The sequence below is a fragment of the Homo sapiens genome, chromosome 9 (genome assembly GCF_000001405.40).
Source record: "Homo sapiens chromosome 9, GRCh38.p14 Primary Assembly".
NCBI lineage: Eukaryota > Metazoa > Chordata > Mammalia > Primates > Hominidae > Homo > Homo sapiens.
This window is the reverse complement of record NC_000009.12, coordinates 61,532,040-61,556,775: the sequence shown is the minus strand read 5'-3', so window position 1 is coordinate 61,556,775 and position 24,736 is coordinate 61,532,040. Positions and strand designations below refer to the sequence as shown.

At 51.2% G+C, this 24,736-nt stretch overlaps 1 long non-coding RNA gene across 4 annotated transcripts; it reads left to right on the top strand.

Annotated features, from left to right (window-relative positions):
- Nucleotides 1-1,606: 1,606 nt before the first annotated feature.
- On the top strand, nt 1,607-7,642 carry LOC105379437 (uncharacterized). 4 transcript variants are annotated; one of them, XR_007061539.1, is made up of 4 exons: nt 1,607-2,024; nt 2,284-2,437; nt 3,270-3,447; nt 5,555-5,732. It is a non-coding gene; the product is annotated as an uncharacterized LOC105379437 (long non-coding RNA). The 4 variants fall into 4 exon arrangements; XR_950640.2 differs by lacking the exon at nt 3,270-3,447 and adding exons at nt 5,768-6,095; nt 6,790-7,642 and having other exon boundaries at nt 1,645-2,437; nt 5,555-5,676; XR_950639.2 differs by lacking the exon at nt 3,270-3,447 and having other exon boundaries at nt 1,645-2,024; nt 2,196-2,437.
- The last annotated feature ends 17,094 nt before the right edge of the window (nt 7,643-24,736 follow it).

Sequence of the window (24,736 nt, the reverse complement as noted above, 5' to 3'; positions counted from 1 at the left end):
GATGGATGGATGGATGGGGATGGATGGATAGATAAATGGATTGGTAGGTGAATGGACAAATGGATGGATGGATGAGTGGGTAGCTGGATGGGGAATGAGTGGGTAGGTGGGAGAATGGATGATGGATGGATGGATGGATGGATGGATAAATGGAGGGATGCATGATGAATTTCTCCCTTGTTCCCAGCCTAGTCCTAGAATATGTTGCCTATTCTCAAAAATAAGGTACCACAAAGCCTCTGGTGATGGTGGAGCAAAGGAATAGATGGTGAATGTCTCATACCCACTTCGGATCCAGAACAGGCCTAGGAGAGACTCAGGTGGGATCTGCTGCTGAGGAAGGGGGTTGGGGCTGAAGTTGGAGGAGGAGGGCAGCTCTAAACCACCTCTTCCTGGCTCTAGGCCTCTCAGGCCAGACAGCCCCCACCCGTTTCTGCAGATGCCCGCATCATGGTCCTGAGGGGATGGGGGCTGGCCTGGAGCCTTTCCACCGTAGTGTGTGGCTATAGCGGGGACGTGAAGGGGGTGTGTTGGGGACGTAGTGACCACTCCCTTCTACTGTCAGAGATCCTGCTTCCCCCTGCCGCCTGCCCCTCCTCGGCTGCCCTTCATAACCCCCCACCCACTCCCCACCTGCCATCTCCTGTGCTTGTGTGGATCCAGAAAACACCTACCTGGGCACAGAGATCATCGCTTGGTGCCTCGCCCCTACACAAGGGCGATTAACTTCTCTGTTATGAACTCCTACTTAGTAATTCTGACATGAAACTCCCACTAGGATAAAACTTGGCGCAGAACAGCAATTACTGAAAACATATTTTTAAAAAGGTTGACGTTTTGTAAGAGTTCATCCTCCTCCACTCCTCAGCCTCCCTCAAGGAGACACATATTTAGATCTTCTCTGTGTGAGTCTAACTTGGAGACTGTGAGTTGCAGTTTAAAAGGGGCTCTGGGGCCAGGTGTGGTGGCACACACTTGTGGTCTCAGCTACTCAAGAGGCTGAGATGTGAGGAACGCTTGAGCCCAGGAGTTCAAGACCAGCCTGAGCAACATAGGGAGATGGGATCTACCCAAAACATTTAACAATAAGGCTGGCATGGTGGCATATGCCTGTGGTCCCAGCTACTTGGAGGCTGAGGCAGGAGAATCATTTAAGCCTGGGAGATCGAGGCTGCAGTGAGGTATGGTTTCAACTGCTGTGCTCCAGCCTGGGAGACAGGGCAATACTCTGTCTCTAAAAAATAAAAAATAAAAATAAAACAATAAAGGGCTCTGAGCCCAGCCCTCTGGCCAGGGTCTGGTGCAGTGGCAGAGGCTTGGGTCCCTGCCAGGTCTCCTGAAACGTCTCCAGAGTCTGCTGGGGCAGCCACCTGGGTGCTCAGTTGCTCTGTTAAACAGCAAAATTCCCAAGTCCTCATCTCAATGAGCCACTGAGGCCGATGAAGAGGGCCTGTCTCATTTAGGACATGAGTGGCCAGGCGGGTGCCACAGGCCCTTTTCCTGGTGACAACAAAGCCATTGCATGGCTCCAGGAAGGCCACATCATTTCCTGGGTTTCGTAGGCGCCTGCGGGGCGGAAACAGTTCAGCAGGGCCCTCCTGATCACAAGGACGAGGTCATACCGGCTGCTGCATGGCAGGGCTGCACTCTGCCAGGGAGCGTCCTGTGATGGAGGGGCTGCACTGCCACTTTACTGATGAGGAAATTAAGGTTCAGAGAGATGAGGTCATTTCTTAGAGGCCAGACAGCCTCCTCAGCCCATTTATAAGGTTGTTTCTGTGGTATTTGCCATAAAGCCATAGGTTCATTGATTTGTTCTTAAGTAGTTCTGAGCCCTTCCTGCATATCAGGCAGGGACAAACAGGAAAGTCCCTGCCTTTGGCAAGTGCGGGGGAAATGAAATGATTCTGCTTAGCCGCATCCATTGGTCTGAACAATCACGTCTCATGACCGCAGGGACGCGGCTTCCCCTGAATGCGGATCCTAGAGGCCAGGCAGAAGCAGCATGGGTTTCCACTCACACGGTAGGTGGCTGTGCAATTTCGTCTGGAGTCCCCAGACCCCTCCTCATCCTTCCCAGGGTTGCTCTGAGGCCATTCCTCGTCATCTAGGAGGGGTCTACATAAAAGCATTTATAAACACCTCCAAATGGGAGCCAGGTGCGCCCACCTTTGGAGCACTTTTCTCTACTGCAGATCTATCTACTGCTCATGAAATCTCTGGATTTAACTCTGATGAAAGACTGGAGGCTGAAGGAGAACTTCAATATCATATATTTTAAAGGTTGACTCACAGTTTGGAGCAAGAATTAAAGAACCACGAACTTCAAGGTAAAACGGGCAACGGCGTTGGGGCAAGCCTCTCTGCACCTGCGTGTCCAGCCTCTCCTGCATGCCAGAAGTCCCCAGGCAGGAGTGTGGTGGGACATCCGGCTGGGGTAAGGACAGGCACCCTCCCACAGTGTCAGGGCCCAGAGAGTGGGTGGAGAAGCTCTGCAAGAGACCTGTGCAAGGGCGCCTTGTAGGAGCCTGCAGTCCCCACAGGTGTGTTTGTGGATAACACTTGGGGAGCCCTGGCCTTTTGGGGTCATGGAGGGCTTGGCCTCTCACCTCAGAGCTGCGGAGGAGCCGCTTCTACATCAGGACATCAGAAGCTGGAACAGGATGACCGGCAAGGGGCCTCTGGTTGGGGTCACAGAGATGGGTCGCAGAGATGGCCCGTGTGGAAGGTTGGATTCTCACCCCACCTCTGCCCCTAGATGTCCTGGTGACCCTCCCCTCTGTAGTCTTTGTTTTTTGCAAAACAGTTATGACCTCCTGCCATACTGGGTACTTTGCTTATGTATTGTGTTTACTCTTTACTGTGTGTCTCTCCTGCTAAGGTCTACGAAGAAGGGTCTTTGTGGGTGGGGTTCTTAGAGGCGTCCCAAGTACCAGAAGCAGTCCCTGGACTAAGGGGCTCAATAAATATTTTTTATTTATTATTTTTTCTTTTTGAGATGGAGTCTCGCTCTCTTGACCAGGCTGGAGTACAGTGGCACAATCTTGGCTCACTGCAGCCTTCGCCTCCTGGGTTCAAGTGATTTCCGGCTAATTTTTGTATTTTTAGTAGAGACGGGGTTTCACCATGTTGGCCAGGCTGGTCACAAACTCCTGACCTCATGTGATCCATCCGCCTCAGCCTCCCAACATGCTGGGATTATAGACATTAGCCACCATGCCTGGCCAAATATTTGTCAAATTGAATTTGTATTTCCATACAAATTTTAGTCTGGATGAAGTGCTTCATGCCTGTAATCCAAGCACTTTGAGAGGCTGAGGCGGGTGGATGGCTTGAGCCCAGGAGTTTGAGACCAGCATGGAAAACATAGAGAAACCCCGTCTCAATATAAGAAGAAGAAGAAAAAGAAAAAAAAAAATCAAAAACGAAAACAACACAAATTTTAGGGTAAGTATTTTAAGTTCCACAAAAACCTGGTTAGGATTTGGATAGCAATTTCTTTAGTTCTACAAATCAATTTGGAAAAAATTAATTAATTTGGGAAGAATTCATTTTGAGTCTTCTAATCCATGAACATGGTATCTCCATTTGTTTAGACCATCTTTAATGCCTACTAATAACATTTCTGTATAGTGACCTTGCACATTATTCTTAGATTCTTGATATTTTGTGCTATTATGTCTTTTTATAAATTTTATTTTTCCAACATTGTTGCTAATATATAGTAAGAAAATGGAATCTTGCCTATGGATTTTGAACCCAACAACTTTGCTAAACTCCTCTGAATCCTCAGAATTTCCTTGTGGATTATGTAGGCTCTTCTGCATACACAACCATATCATTTGTGAATAAAGACAGTTTTGCTTTCTTCTTCACAAACTACCCGACTCACTGTGCAGTCTGCCACATCCAGGCTGATATTGAATAGCAGTGGCACTAATAGGATTCTTTGTCCCCTTGCCAATCTTGTAAAGAAAGCTTTCAACATTTTCCTGTTAGCTCTGTTGGCAGCTCTGACTTTTTCCATAGATGGCCTTCATCAGCTTAACAATGGGTCTTTTCTTCCCAGAGGGCTGAGCTTTTCCTTAAGAACAGACAGTGAGTGTCATCAAACACTAGGCTGCATCTGTTGAGATGGTCATACGACTTGTGTCTTTTCCTGTGTTTGTGTGTGAACTCTCTGGGTGTCTGAGAGTTCTTGTGACTTTCACAGAAGAACACAATTTACCTTCCGGTGTGGGAAGGGGAAGGAGGCAGAGGAAGAAAGACCCCCAAGTCCCCCTCATCCCCACTGACCTTCCTGCTGGCTTCGTCCTTGATCTGTGCCTCCTTAGATGCTGTGTTTGAGTACTTGCAGTCATGATGACAGGGCCAACCTCCTGACCAGGGCTGTTAGCACCTCCCCTGTTGCCCAGAGCCCCTGCTCCAAACCACTTCCTTCATCTTCTGTACCCCCAGCCAATATTTCCCTGCCCAGTGTCAACCCAGGCCCAGAACCAGACCACAAGGGACAGCCCCGGAACCCAGAATCAGACAAATCAGCCCGTCCCAAGCTGTCTCCCCTGCTCTGCCCGGCTTTCACAGGGAAGCCAACACAGGCTGTGGCTTGGCCTTTCCCTAGCTCCTTTCTGCCTCCTGCTCTGCCTGCGGCTTCCCCCTGCCGCCCTGCGGGGCCTGCCACGTCTCTCATTTCTAGCGAATGTTTCAAGAGCGATGTTAGACTTTCCTTTCAATAGCGTTGACCTCTGTTAGGCACCTTTATGGATTAAGACCTGGGCATAGATGGTTTCTTCGGCATCACGACCTGAAGGTGCTTGGGAGAGACGGTGAGGAGGAGAATGCACCCTGCCATGCTCTGCACCGCACATGGATGCGGATTTCACCATGTTGGCCAGGCTGGTCTGAAACACACGGAGCCCAAGCGCCCGGTGGACCCTCTGACGGTCCTCGGGCATGTGCCTTTGTAAGCAGAGTATTCAGCTCTCATCAGGGCCTCGCCAGAGCAGAAATGGTCTGTTGATAAATGCATCGTATACAATTACAAATGTGCACCCAGCATTGCTGCTTCCTCTTTTTTTTTGATATAGGGACTTGCTCTGTCGCCCAGGCTGCAGTGCAGTAGGGCAGTCACAGCTCACTGCAGCCTCAACCTCCCAGGCTCAAGCAATCCTTCCGCCTCAGCCTCCTAATTAGCTGGAACTACACATCCAGCTATTTTTTTTTTTCTTGTAGACACAGGATCTCACCATGTTGGCTAGGCTGGTCTTAAACTCCTGGGCTCAAGTGATCCGCCCACCTTGGGCTCCCAAAGTACTGGCATTACAGGTGGGAGCCACTATGCCTGGCCTGCTTCCTTTTGCAAACAGGAATCTTGTAAATAGAATTGATCAGAACTTGTTGTTTAACGTACACAGACCTCTAGCTGTACTGCAAAGCTGTGTGCACATGTGTTAAGTCATCTGTTCTATGTGTTCTAATTATAAATAAGAAAAAACAAATTTCAATCAGCCATGCTGGAGGAAGAGCAATTATGTTTCTATTCCTTCTATCGTAGGTGATGTAAAATTCTCAAACAATGAGATAGATAAAAAGTACGCAGCCAAAAAGTTCAAGAAGAAGTGTTATGGAGATGGAGCAGGCCCTTCGTAAAAACACGATGTTGGTTTTCTGGATTTTGTATGTTTGCTTTTTTTTTTTCCTCATCCTAAAGAAATATTCACTGTCATACCTAATTTTGTTTTTGTAAGTTTGTATTCTTTCTTTATAGGGAGGCCTCACAAAACCTGGATCAGACTCGCCCACTGCCCTGTGTCTGCCCTCCCGACCACCTCTCCTGCCCAGCAGGGATGTGGGTGGCAGTGGTGCTGTGTGGAGGGTGGCGGGAGGACGGGGAAGACTGCGACCAGTGAGCCGGGAGGCCTTGGGACAGCCTCTCTCTGAATCATCCTGTGCACTGCCAGGTGTGACAAAGGCTCCTAGAATCCTGCCTCAAGTGGCCGCCTTCACAGAGGGAGTCACTGACGTCCCTGCTCAATGCAGCCCTGGCATGTGGGGGTCCCTCTACTCATGAGAAACCCCCACCCAATCACCATGAGGTGTGTGACCCATGCTCACATCCAGGGACCACTCATTCATTCAGGAAACATTGGCCGAGCCCTCAGCAGGGGGCAGTGCTGGATGCCGGGATATAGAGAGTGGGGTGGGACAAGGACTTGGTTGTGAGACGTCCCAGTCTGGGGAAGGACTAAGAGAAGGTGACATGGACAGTCTAGACTACCCGTCATTGGTTCTCCAATGGGGGCAGTATTGGCAATGTTTAGGTATAAATTGGTTGTCACAACGAATGCTACCAACGTCTAGTGGGTGGAGGCTGGGGGTGCCGCTCAGCATCCTACCAGGTGTGGGACGGCCCCCACCACCGAGAGTGCCAGCCCCGAGGGCAGCCCAGGGTGCCCCAGTGGTGAGGAGCTCTGGTGTGGAGTGCAGGGTTCGTTTGGACCACGGCTGTGGAGGCCTAGGGGAGCTCCCGCCATCAGGATGGCCGGGCATCAGGCCTCTGTGAGGGGGAAGGGGGCATCAGTGCAGCGGCAGGCAGGGGTTCGACGGGCTGAGTCCTGCGACGTGTTGCATCCACACCAGTGTCTGGGGCCAGCACCACTGCTCAGTCTCTGAACCCACTTATTTCGCCCAATATTGCTAGAGTGGGAAGTTCCACCTTCCCCAGTCAGCTGCTTATCTCGTCTTTCCAATGCAGTTAGGAAGGGAAAATATTTTCTCCCCATTTTACAGATGAAGAAATGGGGCCTGGCGAGGAGCAAAGCCCAGAACTGCTACCCACCACCCTCCCTGCCTGGTGCTTTCCTGGGAACATGTGGGAGCCCCCGACTGGACCTTGGGACCTCCCATCTGTAATTGCAGGCCCCAGTCTGCCTGTGTGGATGTGGAATGTGTCACTCGGGATCCTGGAGTCCTCCTGAGCTTGTCCAGCAGGGCTGCATTCACTGATGTGCTGACAGAGGCCTAGGCTCGGACCTTTAGGAATATCCAAGGCATCTCATTATGCAGAAAACCACCCTCATGAGGTCCTGGGGGCCTCTCTCCATCTTCCTGGGGGTGACGCAATAGAGTGTAACTTCCACGCTGCCGAGACAGGCCATGAGGGGTTGCCCCCATTGGAGGGGCAGAGTGGTATTTGTGGGGTGGTAGGAATCATTCAATGCCCAGCTGCAACCCCCCGGGCTCACAGCACACTCTTAAGGCCAGTGCTACCAGCTCCCTTGGGTGGATAGAGGAGCTACGGCTCAGAAGCATGCCCACAGCTCCCCCAGGACCCTGAGGCCAGCCTGTGGCAGGGCCTGTGATTTGAACCCCTCTACGAGGCTTCAAATCAGTGCTGTTTGTCCTGGCCTCATAAAACCTGGCTGCCCAGTTGGGATTGGTGTCATCTGCCTTGCTGAACTGGGCACTCCTTGGGAAGAGGGTGGGTGCTGCGAGAAGGCGGTGGATCCTGGCTGTGCAACCTTCGCAGGTGGCTGAACCTCTCTGTGTCTCAGTTTGCTCATCTGCAAAGGGGGCTGGGATTCCTGCCTACCTGCATGTGCTCAAGAGGGAAAGCCAGCCAGGCATGGTGGCTCATGCCTGTAATCCCATCACTTTGGGAGGCTGAGGTGGGCAGATCACTTGAGGTCAGGAGTTCAAGACCAGCCTGGCCTAAATGGCAAAACCCCATCTCTACTAAAAAAATAAAATAAAAATAAAAAAATTAGCTGGACGTGGTGGCAGGTGCCTTTAACCCCAGCTACTGGGGAGGCTGAGGCAGGAGAATCACTTGAATCCGGGAGACGAAGGTTGCAGTGAGCTGAGATCCCACCATTGCACTCCAGCCTGGGTGACAAGAGTGAAACTCCACCTCAAAATAAATAAATAAATAAATAAATAAATAAATAAATAAAGTAAAAGAGGGAATGCTGAGAGACGGGCGTGGCCTGTGGCTCTGTAGCTACTCAGGAGGCTGAGTCAGGAGGATTGCTTTAGGCCAGAGATTCCAGGCTGCAGTGAGCTATGATCATGCCTGTGAACAGCCGCTATATTCTATCCTGGGAAACACAGTGAGACCCTGTCTCTGAAAAAATAAAATATTTAAAAAAGAGTGAATGGTAGGTCAGGGTCTTCTGTGGTGGGGTGGGTCTGGGCAGGGGTGGAGGCCCAGCCAGAGTCACTGGGGTCAGGGAGGGACTGGTGACAAGAATGCACAGCCCTGACCAGGGAAGCACCCAGGGAGCCTTCCCCGTGAAGGGCGGACCTGGCCTCGCCCTGGCCTCACCCCGGCTGTGAGTTGGAACCAGCATGGAGGGAAGCCAGGCCCGGTGCACTCTGCCCAGGGGGATGTAGTTTGGCCAGTGGGGGCTGCCATCAGAGGCTGTCCTTACTGTGGGATCGCTGTGGATGCTTTCCCTTCTGAAGCCTGGAACCTTGGGTCCCCATGCCCTCCAGCTCTGTCTCTTTTGTGGGCACCAGGAAGACACATTCCCTGGCCTCCTTTGCAGTGGCTGGCTGTGGAAGGAGGCCACTGGGGTCAGGTGGGTGTAGGTGGGTACGTGGCATCATGAGGACATATTTTTGTAGAGGGAATTACATTCTTTCTTCCAATTTTTTATTATAAAATTTTCCAATTGAAACCACCCACACCCCAAGCCTGGGGCCGGCCTCCCATCACTGCCTTCTCAGCCCCGGGGGAGGCCTCCTTCTTTCTGCATGGCCTCTGGGCCCATCTGAGCATTCCTCTTCCCTGATGGGAGAAACGCCTGGTGGGGGAGAAGTGGAAGTGGGTGTCCAGGCGAGTCTCAAATCCCAATGGCTGACCCGGAATCCCCCCTGCACACCTCTCCTCCTGGTGCCCGGAGGGGGCACCCACTCTGCTGCCAGGGATTTCCTGAGTAGCTGCTCCGACCACAGCCAGGGAAGAGTTCTTGCAGAAACTCTGTGGGCTGGGCCTGCCCTCCCCAGCCTTGGCATCTTCTTGTTGGTGTCTGAGTTTGAGTCTGTTCTGTGGGCTCTGTGGGAGGTGGGCCCAGCTTCTCACCATGCAGGACCCCTCACCCAGAGCCTGAAACCTGCTTTGACTAACATGCCTCTGGGTTCCTTCACTGGCCCTGCCCAGTCGCATCTCATGGGAAGAAGGACTGGCTGCTCGGGGTTCTCAGACCCTAGCCTGGGAAAACCAGTCTGAGGGCAGGGATAACCCTTGGCCCTGCCTCTGATTGGGCCCTGAGTTAGGTGGGGTTCTTCCCTGCTGAGGGTCCTGGAGGCATGGGAGGGTTTTGGGGTTCTGTGTGAGAGAAGCCTCAGTCCCTTCAGTTCTCACAGATCCCCCAAGGCTGTGTGTCTGATCCATTGCTTTACATAAGAGAGGAATTGGAGCCAGGCAAAGCCCAGGATTAAAATGGGTGGTGGAGGGGGGAAGCTGTGATTTGAATGTGTCCCTCTAAAAACACGTGTTGGAAACTCAGTCCTCAATGCAACAGTGTTGGGAGGTAGGGCCTAAGGGGAGGTGTTTAGGATGATCCATGGATGATCCATGCAGGTAACAAAAGGCCTCGAGGCTGGGCATGTGTTCTCTCACTCTCTCACACTCTCTTGCCGTGTGATGCCTTCTGCCATGTGATGACACAGCAGGAAGGCCCTCGCCAGATGCAGCCCCTGAAACTTGGACTTCCCAGCCTCCAGAGTCATGAGCCGAATCATCTTCTATTTTTTATTTTTTATTTTTTTTGAGACAGAGTCTTGCCCCGTCGCCCAGGCTGGAGTGCAGTGGCATGATCTCTGCTCACTGCAAGCTCTGCCTCCCTGGTTCACGCCATTCTCCTGCCTCAGCCTCCCAAAGAGCTGGGATTACAAGTGCCTGCCACAACGACTGGCTAATTTTTGTGTTTTTAGTAGAGACGGGATTTCACCATGTTGGCCAGGCTGGTCTCGAACTCCTGACCTCAAGTGCTCCACCCACCTTGGCTTCCCAAAGTGCTGGGATTACAGGCATGAGCCACCACACCCGGCCTTTTTTGTCTTCTTATAAGGAGGTAAGTTGTATTGAATCAGGGCCCACTCCAATCAGGTGTGACTGCGTCTTCACTTGATTATATCTGCAAAGGCCCTATTTCCAAAAAGGTTGCATTCATAGGTACCAGGGGTTGAGGCTTTAACATATCTTTTAAAATTTTTATTATTTTTTTGAGACAGAGTCTTGCTCTGTCGCGCAGGCTGGAGTGCAGTGGCGCGATCTCGGCTCACTGCAACCTCCACCTCCTGGGTTCAAGAAATTCTCTTGCCTCAGCCTCCCGAGTAGCTAGAATTACAGGCGCCCCCACCCACCCCACCATGCCTGGCTAATTTTTGTATTTTTATTAGAGCTAGGGTTTCACCATGTTGGCCAGGCTGGTCTCGAACTCCTGATCTCAAGTGATCCACTTACCTCAATTTCCCAAAGTGTAACATACCTTTTTGGGGGACAGAATTCTACCCACAAATTCTAGATAAGGAGGCATTGCTTCTTTTTTCTTCTGGTATTGAATGTCACTTTGGAGAAGTCTGATGCCAAGTTGGTTTTCTTTGCTTTATAAGATACTTGGTCTTTCTGTCTGGCTGCCTAAAGGATTATTTCTTTATCTTTAAAGTCCAGTGACTTTACAAAGGCATGTTTTGTGTTGACTGTTCTGGGCCAACACACACAAGTATACAGCATGCACTTTTACAGGCAGGCGCAAGTCTGCCTGCATTTCAATAAAGAGATCTTGAATGATAGTTTCAATCCTTGTTCAGCAGGTGCTGTGGTGCACACCTGTGCTCCCAGCTACTCAGGAGGCCTCCTTTTTAATCTCTTTCCTCTTTCTTTCCATTTGCTCACTTTTTCCTTTTTTACGTGATTTTCGTGGTGTCTGTGCTCTCATATTACCTGTAACTTCATTTCTTCATTTCTGAAATGGTTTTGTCTTTTTCTTCAGTTTCCTTCTTGAATTCTGTCATTTCCTACCACAGACTCCGCTGCCATTTGGCCACCTCTTCCCTGCATTCTTATTCTGTGCTTATTCTCCTCTGTTCTTATTCTGTGCTATAGTATCCCTTCGGAGCTGAAGTTCTTGTTGGAATATTAGATCATGATTTTCATCTGGTTTGTGGCAGTATTTGTCTGATGAGATTTCTTCATTTGTAGGAAAATAGCACTGCTTTTATTTTTTTTATTTTTTATTTTTTAAGACTGCAGCTTGCTCTGTGACCCAGGCTGGAGTGCAGTGGCACAATCGTAACTCACTAGAGCCTTGACCTACAGCCTGCACTCGAGCAATTCTGCTGCCTCTGCCTCCTGAGCAGCTGGGGACTACAGGTGCGTGCCACCATGCCTGCCTGGGCTTCTTTTTTTATTTTTTTGAGAGAGGGTCTCCCTCTGTCACCCAGGCTGGAGTGCAGTGGCGCAATCTCAGCTCACTGCAATTTCTACCTCCTGGGCTCAAGCGATTCTCCCATCTCAGCCTTCTGAATAGCTGGGACTACAGGTGCACACTATTGTGCCCTGGAATTTCTTCGTTTCTGTTTGTTTGTTTGTTTGTTTTTTGTAGAGACAAGGTTTCACGATGTTGTCCAGGCTAGTCTTGAACTGCTGGGCTCAAGTGACCTGCCCACCTCGGTCTCCCAAAGTATTGGGACTATAGGCGTAAGCCACCATGCCTGGCCTTTTTTTTTTTTTTAAGTTAGGCACTTAGGTCTCCTTATGTTGGCCAGGCTGATCTTGAACTTCTGGCCTCACTCAATCCTCCCACCTCTGTCTTTCCCACAAAGTGCTGGTGTTACTGGAAAAGGGGGGGCTCTGATCCAGACCCCGAGAGAGGTCTCTTTGATCTCATGCGAGAAAGAATTTGGAGCGAGTTCACAGAGTAAAGTGAGAGCAAGTTTATCAGGAAAGTAAAGGGATGAAGAGGAACTGAGGTCTCCTCCCCTCCCTTTTGAGACCTTATAAGGTAACCTCCAGACATTGCCATGGCATCTGTAAACTGTCATGGTGCTGGTGGGGGTGTCTTTTGGCAGCAAATGCATTCTAATTGGCATATAATGAGCCGTGAGGACAATCAGAGGTCACTCTCGTGGCCGCCTTGGTTTTGGTGGGCTTTGGCTGGCTTCTTTACTGCAACCTGCTTTATCAGCAAGGTCTTCATGACCTGTATCTTGTGCCGACCTCCTATCTCATCCTGTGACTTAGAATGCCTAAACTCCTGGGAATGCAGGCCGGCAGGTCTCAGCCTCATTTTACCCAGCTCCTGTTCAAGATGGAGTTGCTCTGGTTCCAACGTCTCTGGCATTGGGATTTCAGGCATGAGCCACTGTGCCTGGCTAGCATTGCTTTTGGAAGTGGAGAGCATGCCCATTTTTGTTACTCGTTTATTTGAATAGGATGGCTGTTCCGGCCAGGAGGTGCTGGGCCACGGCTCCTGGGAGGACCATGTGCTGCCCTGCTGGATAGCTAAGCACCACTGGCTCCTGTTGGCAGCTGAGCCGGCCCACCTTGAGGTCCTGTGCATGGGTTACAGCTGGTGGTGTGTGGGTGCACAGTGATGGCGGGCCTCTGAGAGCTGGGGCGGGCCAGTGTGGCCTGACTCTGCCTGTAGGAAGCTCTAGAACAGGTCATGCTGATCTGCGATGAAAAGTCGCCTCTGGAGGGGGTGCAGTGGGGACTGATGAGCACATATCTCGGGGGTGGTCAGGTTCTTATCTTGGTGGAGTCTGCCTTTGTCAACTCCCTGAGTGACACCCTTGAGATCTGTATAGCATGCTGGGTTGAACTGTGACTCCCAAATTCATGTGTTGAAGTCTTGACCCCTGTACCTCAGAATATGCCAGGGCAGAGTCAGCAAAAAGAGGAAAGTCTCCAGCCGGTTCCCGAGCTCTGAGCCTGTACCTGCCTTGGGGCCAGGAGAGGCTGAGGTGTGGGAGAAATGTGTATTTGGGTTCCTCTGCCAGAGCATGGTCCTCCGTGGAGTCGGCCTCCTGCAGAGGGGAGCAGCAGGTGCTGTTGCATGCTACCGTCTCCCCTAAGCCTCTCAGGGTCTCCTTAGGAAGAGGGTGCATGTTCCCTCCCAGGTGCAGCTCACCCCTACCTCTGCCCCCCACATCTCCCTCCCCCTGCCCCAGGCAGCCCCCAAGACTTTCCTTGCCCTGAACTCCCATCTGCCTCCTGGGTCTGTCCTCTGTCCCTGGCTGCTCAGGTCAGCCTGGCCTCTGGTTCTCTCCCTTTCTGTCCCTTTTGCACCCTGGCTCCCTCTCTAGGCTGCGGTGCAAGGCTGTGTTGCCGGCTGTTCTGGGGATGCTGACAACATTAGCGTGGCTCATGTTTATCGTGGGTCTAGCTCCTCTTGTACAGACATGGTCCTCTTCCCTTCCTCCGTGGAAGCAGAACCCTGATGCGTGGCGGGGCATGTAGCTGGCCGGAATGAAAACCTGCATCTCCCAGCTTCCTCCCTGACGCTAAGTGGAGCTGAGCTGCTAAGTCGTGGCCAGTGGGTTAAAGGCAGAAGTGCTATAGGAGACTTCCAGGAAGATGGCTAAAAACAAGCTGACTCAGCTGGGACTTCTGGGAGGGGCCCTTTTCTGCTCTGTACGTTTCCAGCTTCCTTCCACCTGTCCTGTGGTCTTGATGGCTGGAGCACCAGCAGCTACCTTGGACCATGGAGTGGCTTTGAGGCTAGACACCATGCGTGGAGGATGAGGAGCAGGACAGCCAGGATCTGGGTCCCTGAGGACATCGAGGAGCTGCCACCTCACCCTCAATCAGTCATCCCCAGATTCTCCCTTCAGAAAGAAATCAGCTTCTTTCTTGTTTATGCTTCTTTTGCTGGGATTGTCATATGCAGCGAAACCAAACTGTGGAGTCCCGATCAGCTGATAGAAATGAGGAAGGGGTTCCCTCCTCTGCACAACTCCATGGCACCACAGGCCCTAGCTGGCAAGAACATGAACTAGGGTGGGGGAGAGCCGTTGTTCTAAGAAATGGATAACCACAAGCAGCCCGCTTGTACAACCTCCTGTTACCAAATACCTAGCTCTGCACGTTAGCTCCAGCAGCATGACCCTGTCTGCATGGGGCCTCTCCAGCATGACCCTGTCTGCATGGGGCCTCTCCAGCGTGACCCTGTCTGCATGGGGCCTCTCCAGCGTGACCCTGTCTGCATGGGGCCTCTCCAGCGTGACCCTGTCTGCATGGGGCCTCTCCAGCGTGACCCTGTCTGCCTGTTGCCTCTCCAGCGTGACACTGTTTGCATGTGGCCTCTCCAGCGTGACCCTGTTTGCATGTCACCTCTCCAGTGTGACCGTTTCCACATGTAGCCTCTCCAGCATGACTCTGTCTGCATGCGGCCTCTCCAGAGTGACCCTGTCTGTATGTGGCCTCTCCAGCATGACCCCGTCTGCATGTGGCCTCTCCAGAGTGACCCTGTCTGCATGTGGCCTCTCCAGAATGACCCTGTCTGCATGTGGCCTCTCCAGAGTGACCCTGTCTGCATGTCGCCTCTCCAGCATGACCGTATCCAGATGTGGCCTCTCCAGCGTGACTCTGTTTTCATGTGGCCTCTCCAGCATGACCCTGTCTGCATGTCGCCTCTCCAGTGTGACCCTATCAAACTTCCCCCTGGCCTCTGCCCCTGGGGAGGTGGCCTTCTCTCTGCCATGCTGCCTGCTGTTCTCTTGCAAGGTGTCTTCAGACTTTCTTTACCCATGACTGTCTCGGTAAATTCTTTTACCACCCGTGACACCAGCCCCAGCCAGTTGCACCTGCACCACTGGCTGCAGTGGATTCCTTGTTGCTGATACTCCACATAACCTTGCTAGGTGTCATATATGATCATTCTTTAACAGAGGGGCAAGCTGAGGCTCAGAGAGGTTAAGGCACTTGCTCAAGGTCACACAGCGGAGAGGTTGTGGGTAAGCCAGGCTGCTGGCTTAGAACACTGCCATGGCATTTCTCAGATCACCTCGCTCAGGGACTCCTGGCAGTTCCCCCTGCGTCATAGAGGTGAGTCTGTCCAGGACGAGCCACTCCAGGCTACCGAGGGCCAGCTGGAGGGCCTGCAGACACCTGCTGTGGAGTCAAGGTCCACACCATCAGCCAGAAGAGAGGTCTCAGGAGGGGCATTAGTGTTTGTCCTCGCTGTGATTGCACCGACTGGCAAATCAGCTGTAGGACAATGGAAAACACAGCAGCAGCTTGTTACTGAGAAGGGAGGACTCAGGGTGGACCTGACCCCTCTGCAGATGGCTTGGTGAGAACGTGGCCTGCACTGTTGGCTCCTCCCTCTGGGTATTGGAATTGCTGGGCAGCCAGAGGCTTACCTGGGCTTACTGGCACCCAGGGAGGAGAAGCCCTGAGCTGTGCGGCTGCTGAGGAAGGCTGTCTGCAGGGGAGAGCCCGAGCGCTGAAGGAGGCCAGTGGGCTCAGCCTGATGTCTCCATTCTCCTTCCTACAGCAACCAGGGTGCTTTGGAAAGGGTCAATTGCCCCCCCTTACCAGGTAGGGATGCAGGAGGGAGAGCGAGCCATTCCTCTAATGTCAGTGACCATGTCTTGGTTCCAAAACCCCTTAAGCCTTGGGTTGTCTATCAGCAAAAAGAGAAGGGATGTGCTCAGGGGGTCTTCGTGGAGATCCTCTGCTCCCCTCGCCTTGAATGTGGAGAGGGCCCAAGACTCCCTAGGGAAGGCAGGTGATATAGACTCCAGGTGTGCCCTGCTCTCTCCTCAGCACCACTCTGCAGCACCACAGGCAGTCTGGGGTGCAGATAACATCTCCCTGGGCACAGCTTCGCACCAGGGCATGCTGGGGGTAGAGCCACACTTGCATAGCCTGTGGATCCCTACAGCCTGGGGATTGGGCTGCTATTCCCATTGCAGGGAGGGAGGTGGTCGGAGGTAGGGTCTGCTCCTACCTAGGTACTTCTGGCCTCACCAGAAGAAGGGGGAGAGTTTGCACATTGAGTGACACCTGCTCCATCTTTGTCCCTGTATTTACATCATTATTCTGAAGGCCAAGAGATAGGACCTGCCGGAGCTCCATGCACAGACCCTGGGCAGGTGCATGTGGGCTTCTGGCTTCCTGGTGTGCACAGCCCCTTCTCTCCCTTCTGGACTGTAGCAGTGTACTAGGGACATTGTAGCCACTGTGTAAAGTCTCCCGCTTTCTGGGACAGTTTTATTCACTCATGTGTGTTGAGAGCTCGTTTTGTGCTGGGGTCCCTGGGGAGAACGCTGGGTTCACTCATAGTTCCACAACAAGGGACCTGTGGCCTTTGTTGTGGACAGGGGCCAAGAGCACGTAGAGAAGGCACTGAACACTCCTTGGCTTCCAGGGGAAAGATCAGGACTGGAAGGATGTGGGAACTGCCCAAAGCTACAGAATCTGCTGTCTCAATGGCTGAGCAGGGTGCAGAGTGCATGCGGCTGTTTGTTCTGTGGCACTGGTAACCTTGGCACTTCTCCAGGTGTGAAGGACAGCATGGGAGTGAGCCTGTGAAGTTATAGGCAGAGTCCAGGCAGCCCCAAGCCTGGGTGGGTTGTAGCTGTCAGAGTGGCAGCAGGTGGACAGAGGGGATGGGCTCGGGGGGAGGTGTGGGGACCCGCTTGAGTGGGAGTCAGCCTGGGGGCATCTCAATCCCTCTGATGCCTGGTTTGGCTCCCAAGCACTACTTAGCCCACCCCACTGAGCCTGTCTGTGCCTGGCCTGGCACTGGTGATGCAGGGACTGAGTCAGGCAGGGCCCGACCCAGAGAGCCCATGGGCAGACAGTGTTGGTGCTGCATGCCCGGGCTTAAACCAGCAAGCCTGATTCTGAATGTCCACAAGCTCTTGGCTGGTGGGGCCACAGGACTGGGACCCAAGCCTCCTAGCGACATGGCTGAGGCCATCTGTCATGGGTCCTTCTCTCAGGCCACCTGGTTCCCTGTGACTCACTTGGTGTTGACCAGGTGCATGGATGCAGAGCTGAGCAGATGGTCCCTGTGTCCCCAGTCTGGTTGGGGGTGCAGGGGTCTGGAGCCCATGTGAGCCTGGTGAGAGCCTGGGAAGGAACCACTTTTTCCATGGCAGAGCTGAGTGCAAAGCACACTGTTGCACTGCTCTGGTGGTGGCATTTTACTCTGTAACCTATTCATCCACATACTCATGTATTTCTCCACCCACCCATTCATCTACTTATCCACCCATTCACCCATCCATCCACTTATCCATCCACCCATCTACATATCCATCTATCCACCCACCCACCCATCCACCCACCCATCCATACATACACCCACCCATCCATCACTTATTTGTTCATCTATCCATCCATTCCCCCATCTCTCCATCCACCTACTCACCCATCCATCCACCATCCATCCATCCATTCATGCATCCATCCACTCATCCATCCATCCATCCATCCATTCACCCACCCACCCATCCACCTATTGACCCATCCATCCACCCATCCATCTACCCATACTTCCATCTATCCACATACCTGCCCAAGCACCCACTCATCCATCCACCCACCCACTCACCTATCCACCCATCCACCCATCCATGCATCCATCCATCAATCCACCCACCCACACATCCATGCATCCATCCATCCATCCACCCACCCACCTGCCTCATCCCTCCGTCTGAAGGTCTTTACAGAACAGCTGTGAAGCTGAGATGCTGGGGACCCAGTGGTTACTCAGGACAGTCATGGACACTGCCATCTAGGCTGTGCTTACTGGCAGGCAGGAGCAGCGAACAGGACCCTTTGCAGATAGTGGTGTCTGCTGTAAAGGAGAGAAAACAGTGAGAGTAAAAGAGTTGAAGAGTTACTGGGGTCTCCTGGGACTCTTTTCCATTCTGAGTCCTGAGCCCACCGAGAAGTAAGGCATGAAGGCAGGTGCTGGAAACCCAAAACCCTTCTATCAATGCCAACCCCTCCATCAGGTTGTAAACCAAAGGGTATCTGAGACAGGTCTCAATAAATTTAAAACACTTATTTTGCCAAGGTGAAGTAAGGGCCTGTGACACAGCCTCAGGAGGTTTTGACGACATGTGCCCAAGGTGGTCAGGGTACAGTTTGCTTTTATTTTTATTTTATTTTATTTTATTGAGATAGAGTCTCACTCTGTTGCTCAGGCTGGAGTGCAGTGGTGCGATCTCGGCTCACTGCAACCTCCGTCTCCCGGGTTCAAGCAATTCTCTGCCCCAGCCTCCCCAGTACCTGGGATTATAGGCGCATGGTACCATGCATGGGTAAGTTTTTGTATTTTTAGTAGAGACGGGGTTTCACCATCTTGGCCAGGCTGGTCTCGAGCTCCTGACCTCGTCATCCACCCACCTCGGTCTCCCAAAGTGCTGGGATTACAGGCATGAGCCACCATGCTTTCTTTTATACATTTTAGGGGGACATGAGACATCAATCAATATGTGTAAGATGTACGTTTGTTGGGTCAGGTAAGGCGGGGCAGCTTGACAACTTGCGGGGGTGGGGGACTTCCAGGTCATAAGTAGGTAAGAGACAAACTTGCATTCTTTTGAGACCGTGATCGGCCTCCCACTGAAACACAATTTAGTCTGGCTCAGGGAATCTGTATTTTTATATCAACAATAGGGCAGAGGAAGCCATCAGATATGGATTTGTCTCAGGGGAGCAGAGGGATGGTGTTGGGTCCTGTCTGTCATTTGTCTATGAGGAATTTCCTTGTGGGCAAATTTTGAGGGAGGTAGTGGCTTTTTAGTCTCTGTAGCCATCTTATTCAGGAGTGGACTGGGAGGCAGGTTTGCCTGAGCAGTACCCAGCTTGACTCTTCCCTTGGCTTGGTAATTTTGGGGACTGAGATGGATTTTCCTTTCACAGGGTGTAGCAGGCTTAGTGCCAGGGCCCAGGAGACTTTTAGGCATCAGGAAACTGGTTTAATGCCTTCTAAAATCAGAATAAACACAGTGCAGCCTGGGCTATAGTCATCTTTCTACCAACGCAGTTATGAAACATCATTTGTAATACTTTAGCCCAGAGGAGGGGCCCACAGAGGCTGTAATGCCAGGCTGCCCGTTATTCCCAATGGAGGCTGGTCGGAGGACACGGCTCAGAGTGAAGGCCAAGGGGGCCTTCCCTGAACCCCAGAGTGGAGGGGTCACCTGCCCAAAGGAACAGCCCAGGCCAGCCTCCAGGGAGCCCCCACCTGTTCAGCAGAGCAGGCCACCCCTGCAGGTGGCAGCGGAGAGTGAGCTCAGCCTGCCCTGCAGACCCCGCCTGGATTTGCCAACCCCTCCCTGCGTGGGGGTGGGTGACAAATGGTGGGAGAGAGGCAGGGGTCGGAGAAGTCAGTTTTCTCCACGTGGAAGGAGGCTTGGGAGTTGGGGAGGACACCCCCACCTTCCCCGGCCTTTTGTTGCCCTACCCAAGGGCCTCGTGGTCACACTTGTGGTGAGCTGGGGGGCCGCCCCTAGGGAGAGGAGAACTGTCGTGGTCCCCTTCATGAAGCCACTCCCAGGACTGCAGGGGGCCGTTTGGGTTTACCCCCCATGAAACTGCCTTTGCAAAAATTATAACTGAGGAAATGATGACAGTGAAAGAAATCAGACCTAACCGACTCCATATTCCTTCTAACCTTTAAGCTGTCCTTATTCAATCCTGGGCGTAGGCCGAACTAACTTTGGGAAGGAATTCAGTTCATGGTTTGACTCTGAAACAAAATTGGTAACAGCCCTTTCCCGAATAGACCCCCTTCTTGCCTGAGGACCAGTCTGCCTTTGTAGGACTAACAAATTAGCTGCAAGATTAGAAATTATGGTTTAGGGGTCTTGTGGCCTCCGGCTGTGAGAGTCTGAACCTCCCCAGATTGCTTCTGGGGATCACCTCACTATTGTAAAACCTGAGATCAGTGCTGGGGATATTCTGCAGACCCCACACTCATGGATCAGCTGACACCACCTAGACCAGTCATCTGGCTCAACCAGTTCCGCCATCCCACCCAGGAACAGAAGACAGCAAGAAAAACTCACTTTGACCCCCTATGAATCCATCTCCAAACGGACCAACCAGCATTCCCCACTTTCTGAGCCCCTACCTGCCAAATTATCTTTAAAAACTCTGATCCCCAAATGCTCGGGGAGACCCTTTTGAGTAATAATAAAACTCTGTTCTCCTGCACAGCTGGCTCTGCGTGAGTTACTCCTTCTCCTTTGCAATTCCCCTGTCTTGATAAATCGGCTGTGTCTAGGCAGCCGGCGAGGTGAACACACTGGGCGGTTACACCAGGATTAATGAAACTGACGCAAAGCTCCTTTGTGCCAAAGCTGGAACTCATGCCTCCCACCCGCCGTCCACGTGGTATCCAGCTGCACGGTCATGCGCTGTCCAGCTGCATGGTCACGTGACATTGCAGCTGTGCCGTGGCGTTGGCAAGACTGTGACACACGGCGGCCCCACGCGGTGTCCACTGCACAGTCACGTGGCATTGCAGCTCCGCCGTGGTGACGGCAAGACTGTGACACACAGCGGCCCCACGCGGTGTCCACTGCACAGTCACGTGGCATTGCAGCTCCGCCGTGGTGACGGCAAGACTGTGACACATGACGGCCCCAAGCGGTGTCCACTGCACAGTCACACGACATTGCAGCACTGCCGTGGTGACAGCAAGACTGTGACACACAGTGGCCCAAACGTGGGGGGCCCTTCCATTCCTGTATTACTTGATGGAAGAAGTCTGTAGGTCAAACGCCCTTGCCAATTACAGTTGCTAGACTTTAAAGTGAAAATGCATTTTCTTGCCCTCACCATTTAAAAGACAAAGCTCAGAACTTTGAGTTTTAAGTGAAAGTCCCAAATGATGGGATTCAATTTCTTTCCCCCAGGTCACAGCCAAAGGGGCTGTCATGCAGGGAGATGAGGGGCCGCACAGGCACTCTGGGGACCTGGGGCTTTCTTTCCTCAGGAGGCCCAGGGGCGCGGGTGAGGTGTCGGCTGCTTTGCACCCAGGCCACGCTGCTTCCAGGGGCCTTGTGGCTGGCAGAGTGGACCTGACGTTTCCCAGACGCCGTTGCGGAGGGCTCCTGTCCTGGGGAGGGCAGATTTTCTCCTGCGTGTGGGTAACTTGTAAGGTGGCAAGGCTGCGTTCCCCGGACCCCCGTCTGCGAGGATTCTCTGAGGTCCAAGTTTCCAACGCCTTTCTCTGGAAAGGTTTTGCCTTTGCTTCTCCCAGAAGCTTGGGTTGCCAGGACTCCCTCAAACTAAATTTTTGGCCTAGGGTTTTTCCAGTCATCCAGTGAGCGTGAGTTCTGGCCACACTGCCCCTGAGGTGGGCTTGTGACTGGAATTTCCTGGGGTGACCTTTTTCTGCTTTTCCCACTGCTTCCAGAGCCAAGGCGACGCGCCCACTGTCTCCCAGCTGGGTGGGCTTCCCCAGGCCGTCTGTGGGGCCTCCTTGATCCTCCCGTGGGCAGGTCTCACGTCCCCTTTGCCTCTGGCTCCCTGTGTGCGTGGCTCACTCAAGCCAATGGGAAAACCCCGGAAACTCTACAGAGAAGTAGGTAAAATCCATGGACAGAGTGTGTAGAACAAGATTACAAATGGCTCTGAAGTATAGGGAAAGAGGCTCGTAGTAAAGAAATGCAAATACAAGCTACACAGAGATGCAGTTTCTCACATATCAGACTGGCAGCGATTCAAAAGCGTGACTGCGGTGGAGGAGGCCATGGGAAACTGGCTCCCTCAGACACTAGGAGGGAAACTGTCCTTCACCCGAGGGAGCGGAAGGTGGCAGTAGCTAACAAAATTACACTGGCTTTGCCCCTTGACCCAGCGATTCCATTTCTAGGAATTTCCCCCGAGGTGACACCTCTGCAAATAGGGAACAGTGCATGCTTGAGGGATGCAGCACAGCCTCATTTGTCACAGCGAGACACTGGGAACGACCTGAGTGCTCATTCACCAGGCAGGGCTGTGCAAATGGGAACAGCCACAGCGCGGGGCATCATGTGGCCGTGGGGAACCTGGGGAGCCTAGGGGGCCTGGGGGGACTGGGGAGAACTCAGGGTGTCGGAGCACGGGAGGACAGACAGGCTGCTCATTGTGGCAGGTGCAGCGCCGAGGGCGTCTGCAGGTGGGTGAGAAGGGGATGTAAGGGGACACACACACACACCACACATGCACATGCAAACCACACACACAAATCACACACATCAGACACACCACACACGCACATGTAAACCACACACACAAATCACACACATCAGATACACCACACATGCACATGTAAACCACACACAATCACACACCACATGCACCATACACGCACATGTAAACCACATACAAATCACACACACTACACACACACTTAAACCGCACACACAAACCACACACATCAGACACACCACACATGCACATGGAGACGACACACACAAATCACACACACCACATACACACATAAACCACACACACACATATCACACACATCATACACACACATAATCCACACACACACAAATCACGGCACACACCATACACGCACATGTAAACCACACACACACAAATCATATACATGCACACACACCACACACGTCAACTATACACACAAAAATCACACATTCCTTCACTACACAGGCATATATAAACTACACACAGAAATCACACAGGCAGACACACTACACATGCATATGTAAATTACACACTCATAAACTACACACACAACCTATACACACAAATCATACATGCACTATACATGCACATATAAACTACACACTATACACACACAAATCACCCACATGCACACACACAGCACATACTACACCTACACCTGTGAACTACACACATACATAAAATACACACACAAACTACACACAGATATAAACCACATACACAAACTATACACAAACACATAAACTACACACACAAACTACATACACATATAAACCACACACGCAAAGTACACACATGTAAACTGCACACACAAACTATACACACATAAACTACACACAAACCACACACACATAAAAACCACATACACAAATTATACACAAACACATAAACTACACACACAAACTACATGCACATATAAACCACGCAAAGTACACATTCATAAACTACACACAAAAACTATACACACATATAAACCACACACACAAAGTACACACATGTAAACTGCACACACAAACTATACACACACATATAAATCACACACAAAGTATACACATGTAAACTGCACACAGAAACTATACACACACAAATAAACCACACACACAAAGTACACACACATAAAGTACACACGAACCACACACACACATATAAACCACATACACAAACTATACACAAACACATAAACTACACACACAAACTACATGCACATGTAAACCACACACACAAAGTACACTTTCATAAACTACACACACAAACTATACACACATATAAACCACACACACAAAGTACACACATGTAAACTGCACACACAAACTATACACACACATATAAATCACACACACAAAGTACACACACATAAACTACACATGCAAACTATACACACACATATAAACCCCACACACAAAGTACACACATGTAAACTACACACAGAAATGATACACATATAAACCACACACACAAACTACACATACATAAACTACACACAGAAACTATACACACACATATAAACCACACACACAAACTACACATACATAAACTACACACACATAAATCACACACAAACTACACACACAAACTCTACACACACATATAAACCACACACAAACTACACACACAAACTCTACACACACATATAAACTACACACACAAACTACACATACATAAACTTCAGAAACTACACATTCATATAAACGATACACACACAAACTACACACATATATAAACCACACACACAAACCACACACACATAAACTGCACACAGAAACTATACACACACATACAAACTATGCAAACTATACACACCCATATAAACCACACACACAAACTATACTCACATAAACTTCACACACAAACTACCCATTCATATAAATCATACACACACAAACTACACACACACATATAAACCACACACACAAAGTATACACACATAAACTACACACATATAAACTACACATGCAAACTATACACACATAAACTAAACACACAGACTACACACATATAAACTACATATGCAAAGTATACACATGCACATAAACCACACACACAAACTGTACACACAATATAAACCATACACATGAGCTACACACACATGTAAACTACATACAGAAACTACACACACACATAAATAACCACCAGGTGGGAGGACTGGGTGGAGTGAGAAGTCAGAGAATCCTTTACATATGTGTTGACTTTTGAAACACGTAAATGTTTACACGTTCAGAAATAGAATTAAATTGACAAGCACAAAAAAATTGAACATTGAATTCAAACAGGAATCAATGAACCTAAAACAATTGACAGCAACACCAGATGGAAACAAGAATGGAAGTGGCTTTCGAAGGGGCCTCTGGCTGTGGGGACCCGCAGCTCCGCGTCGCAGGCCGGTTTTGTCGCAGCAGCAGCGCTGCTGTGGTCGTCTGAAACCACTGTCTGTGGATTAAGGGCTGGTCACCCCCAGCAGCTTGGTGGTCCTCCTTGGAACCAGGACTCTTTCTCTCGCTGGGAGGCGGGAGATAGGGATGTGGAACGGGAAACAAAGAGGGTTCCTGGGGGCTTGTGCTTGGA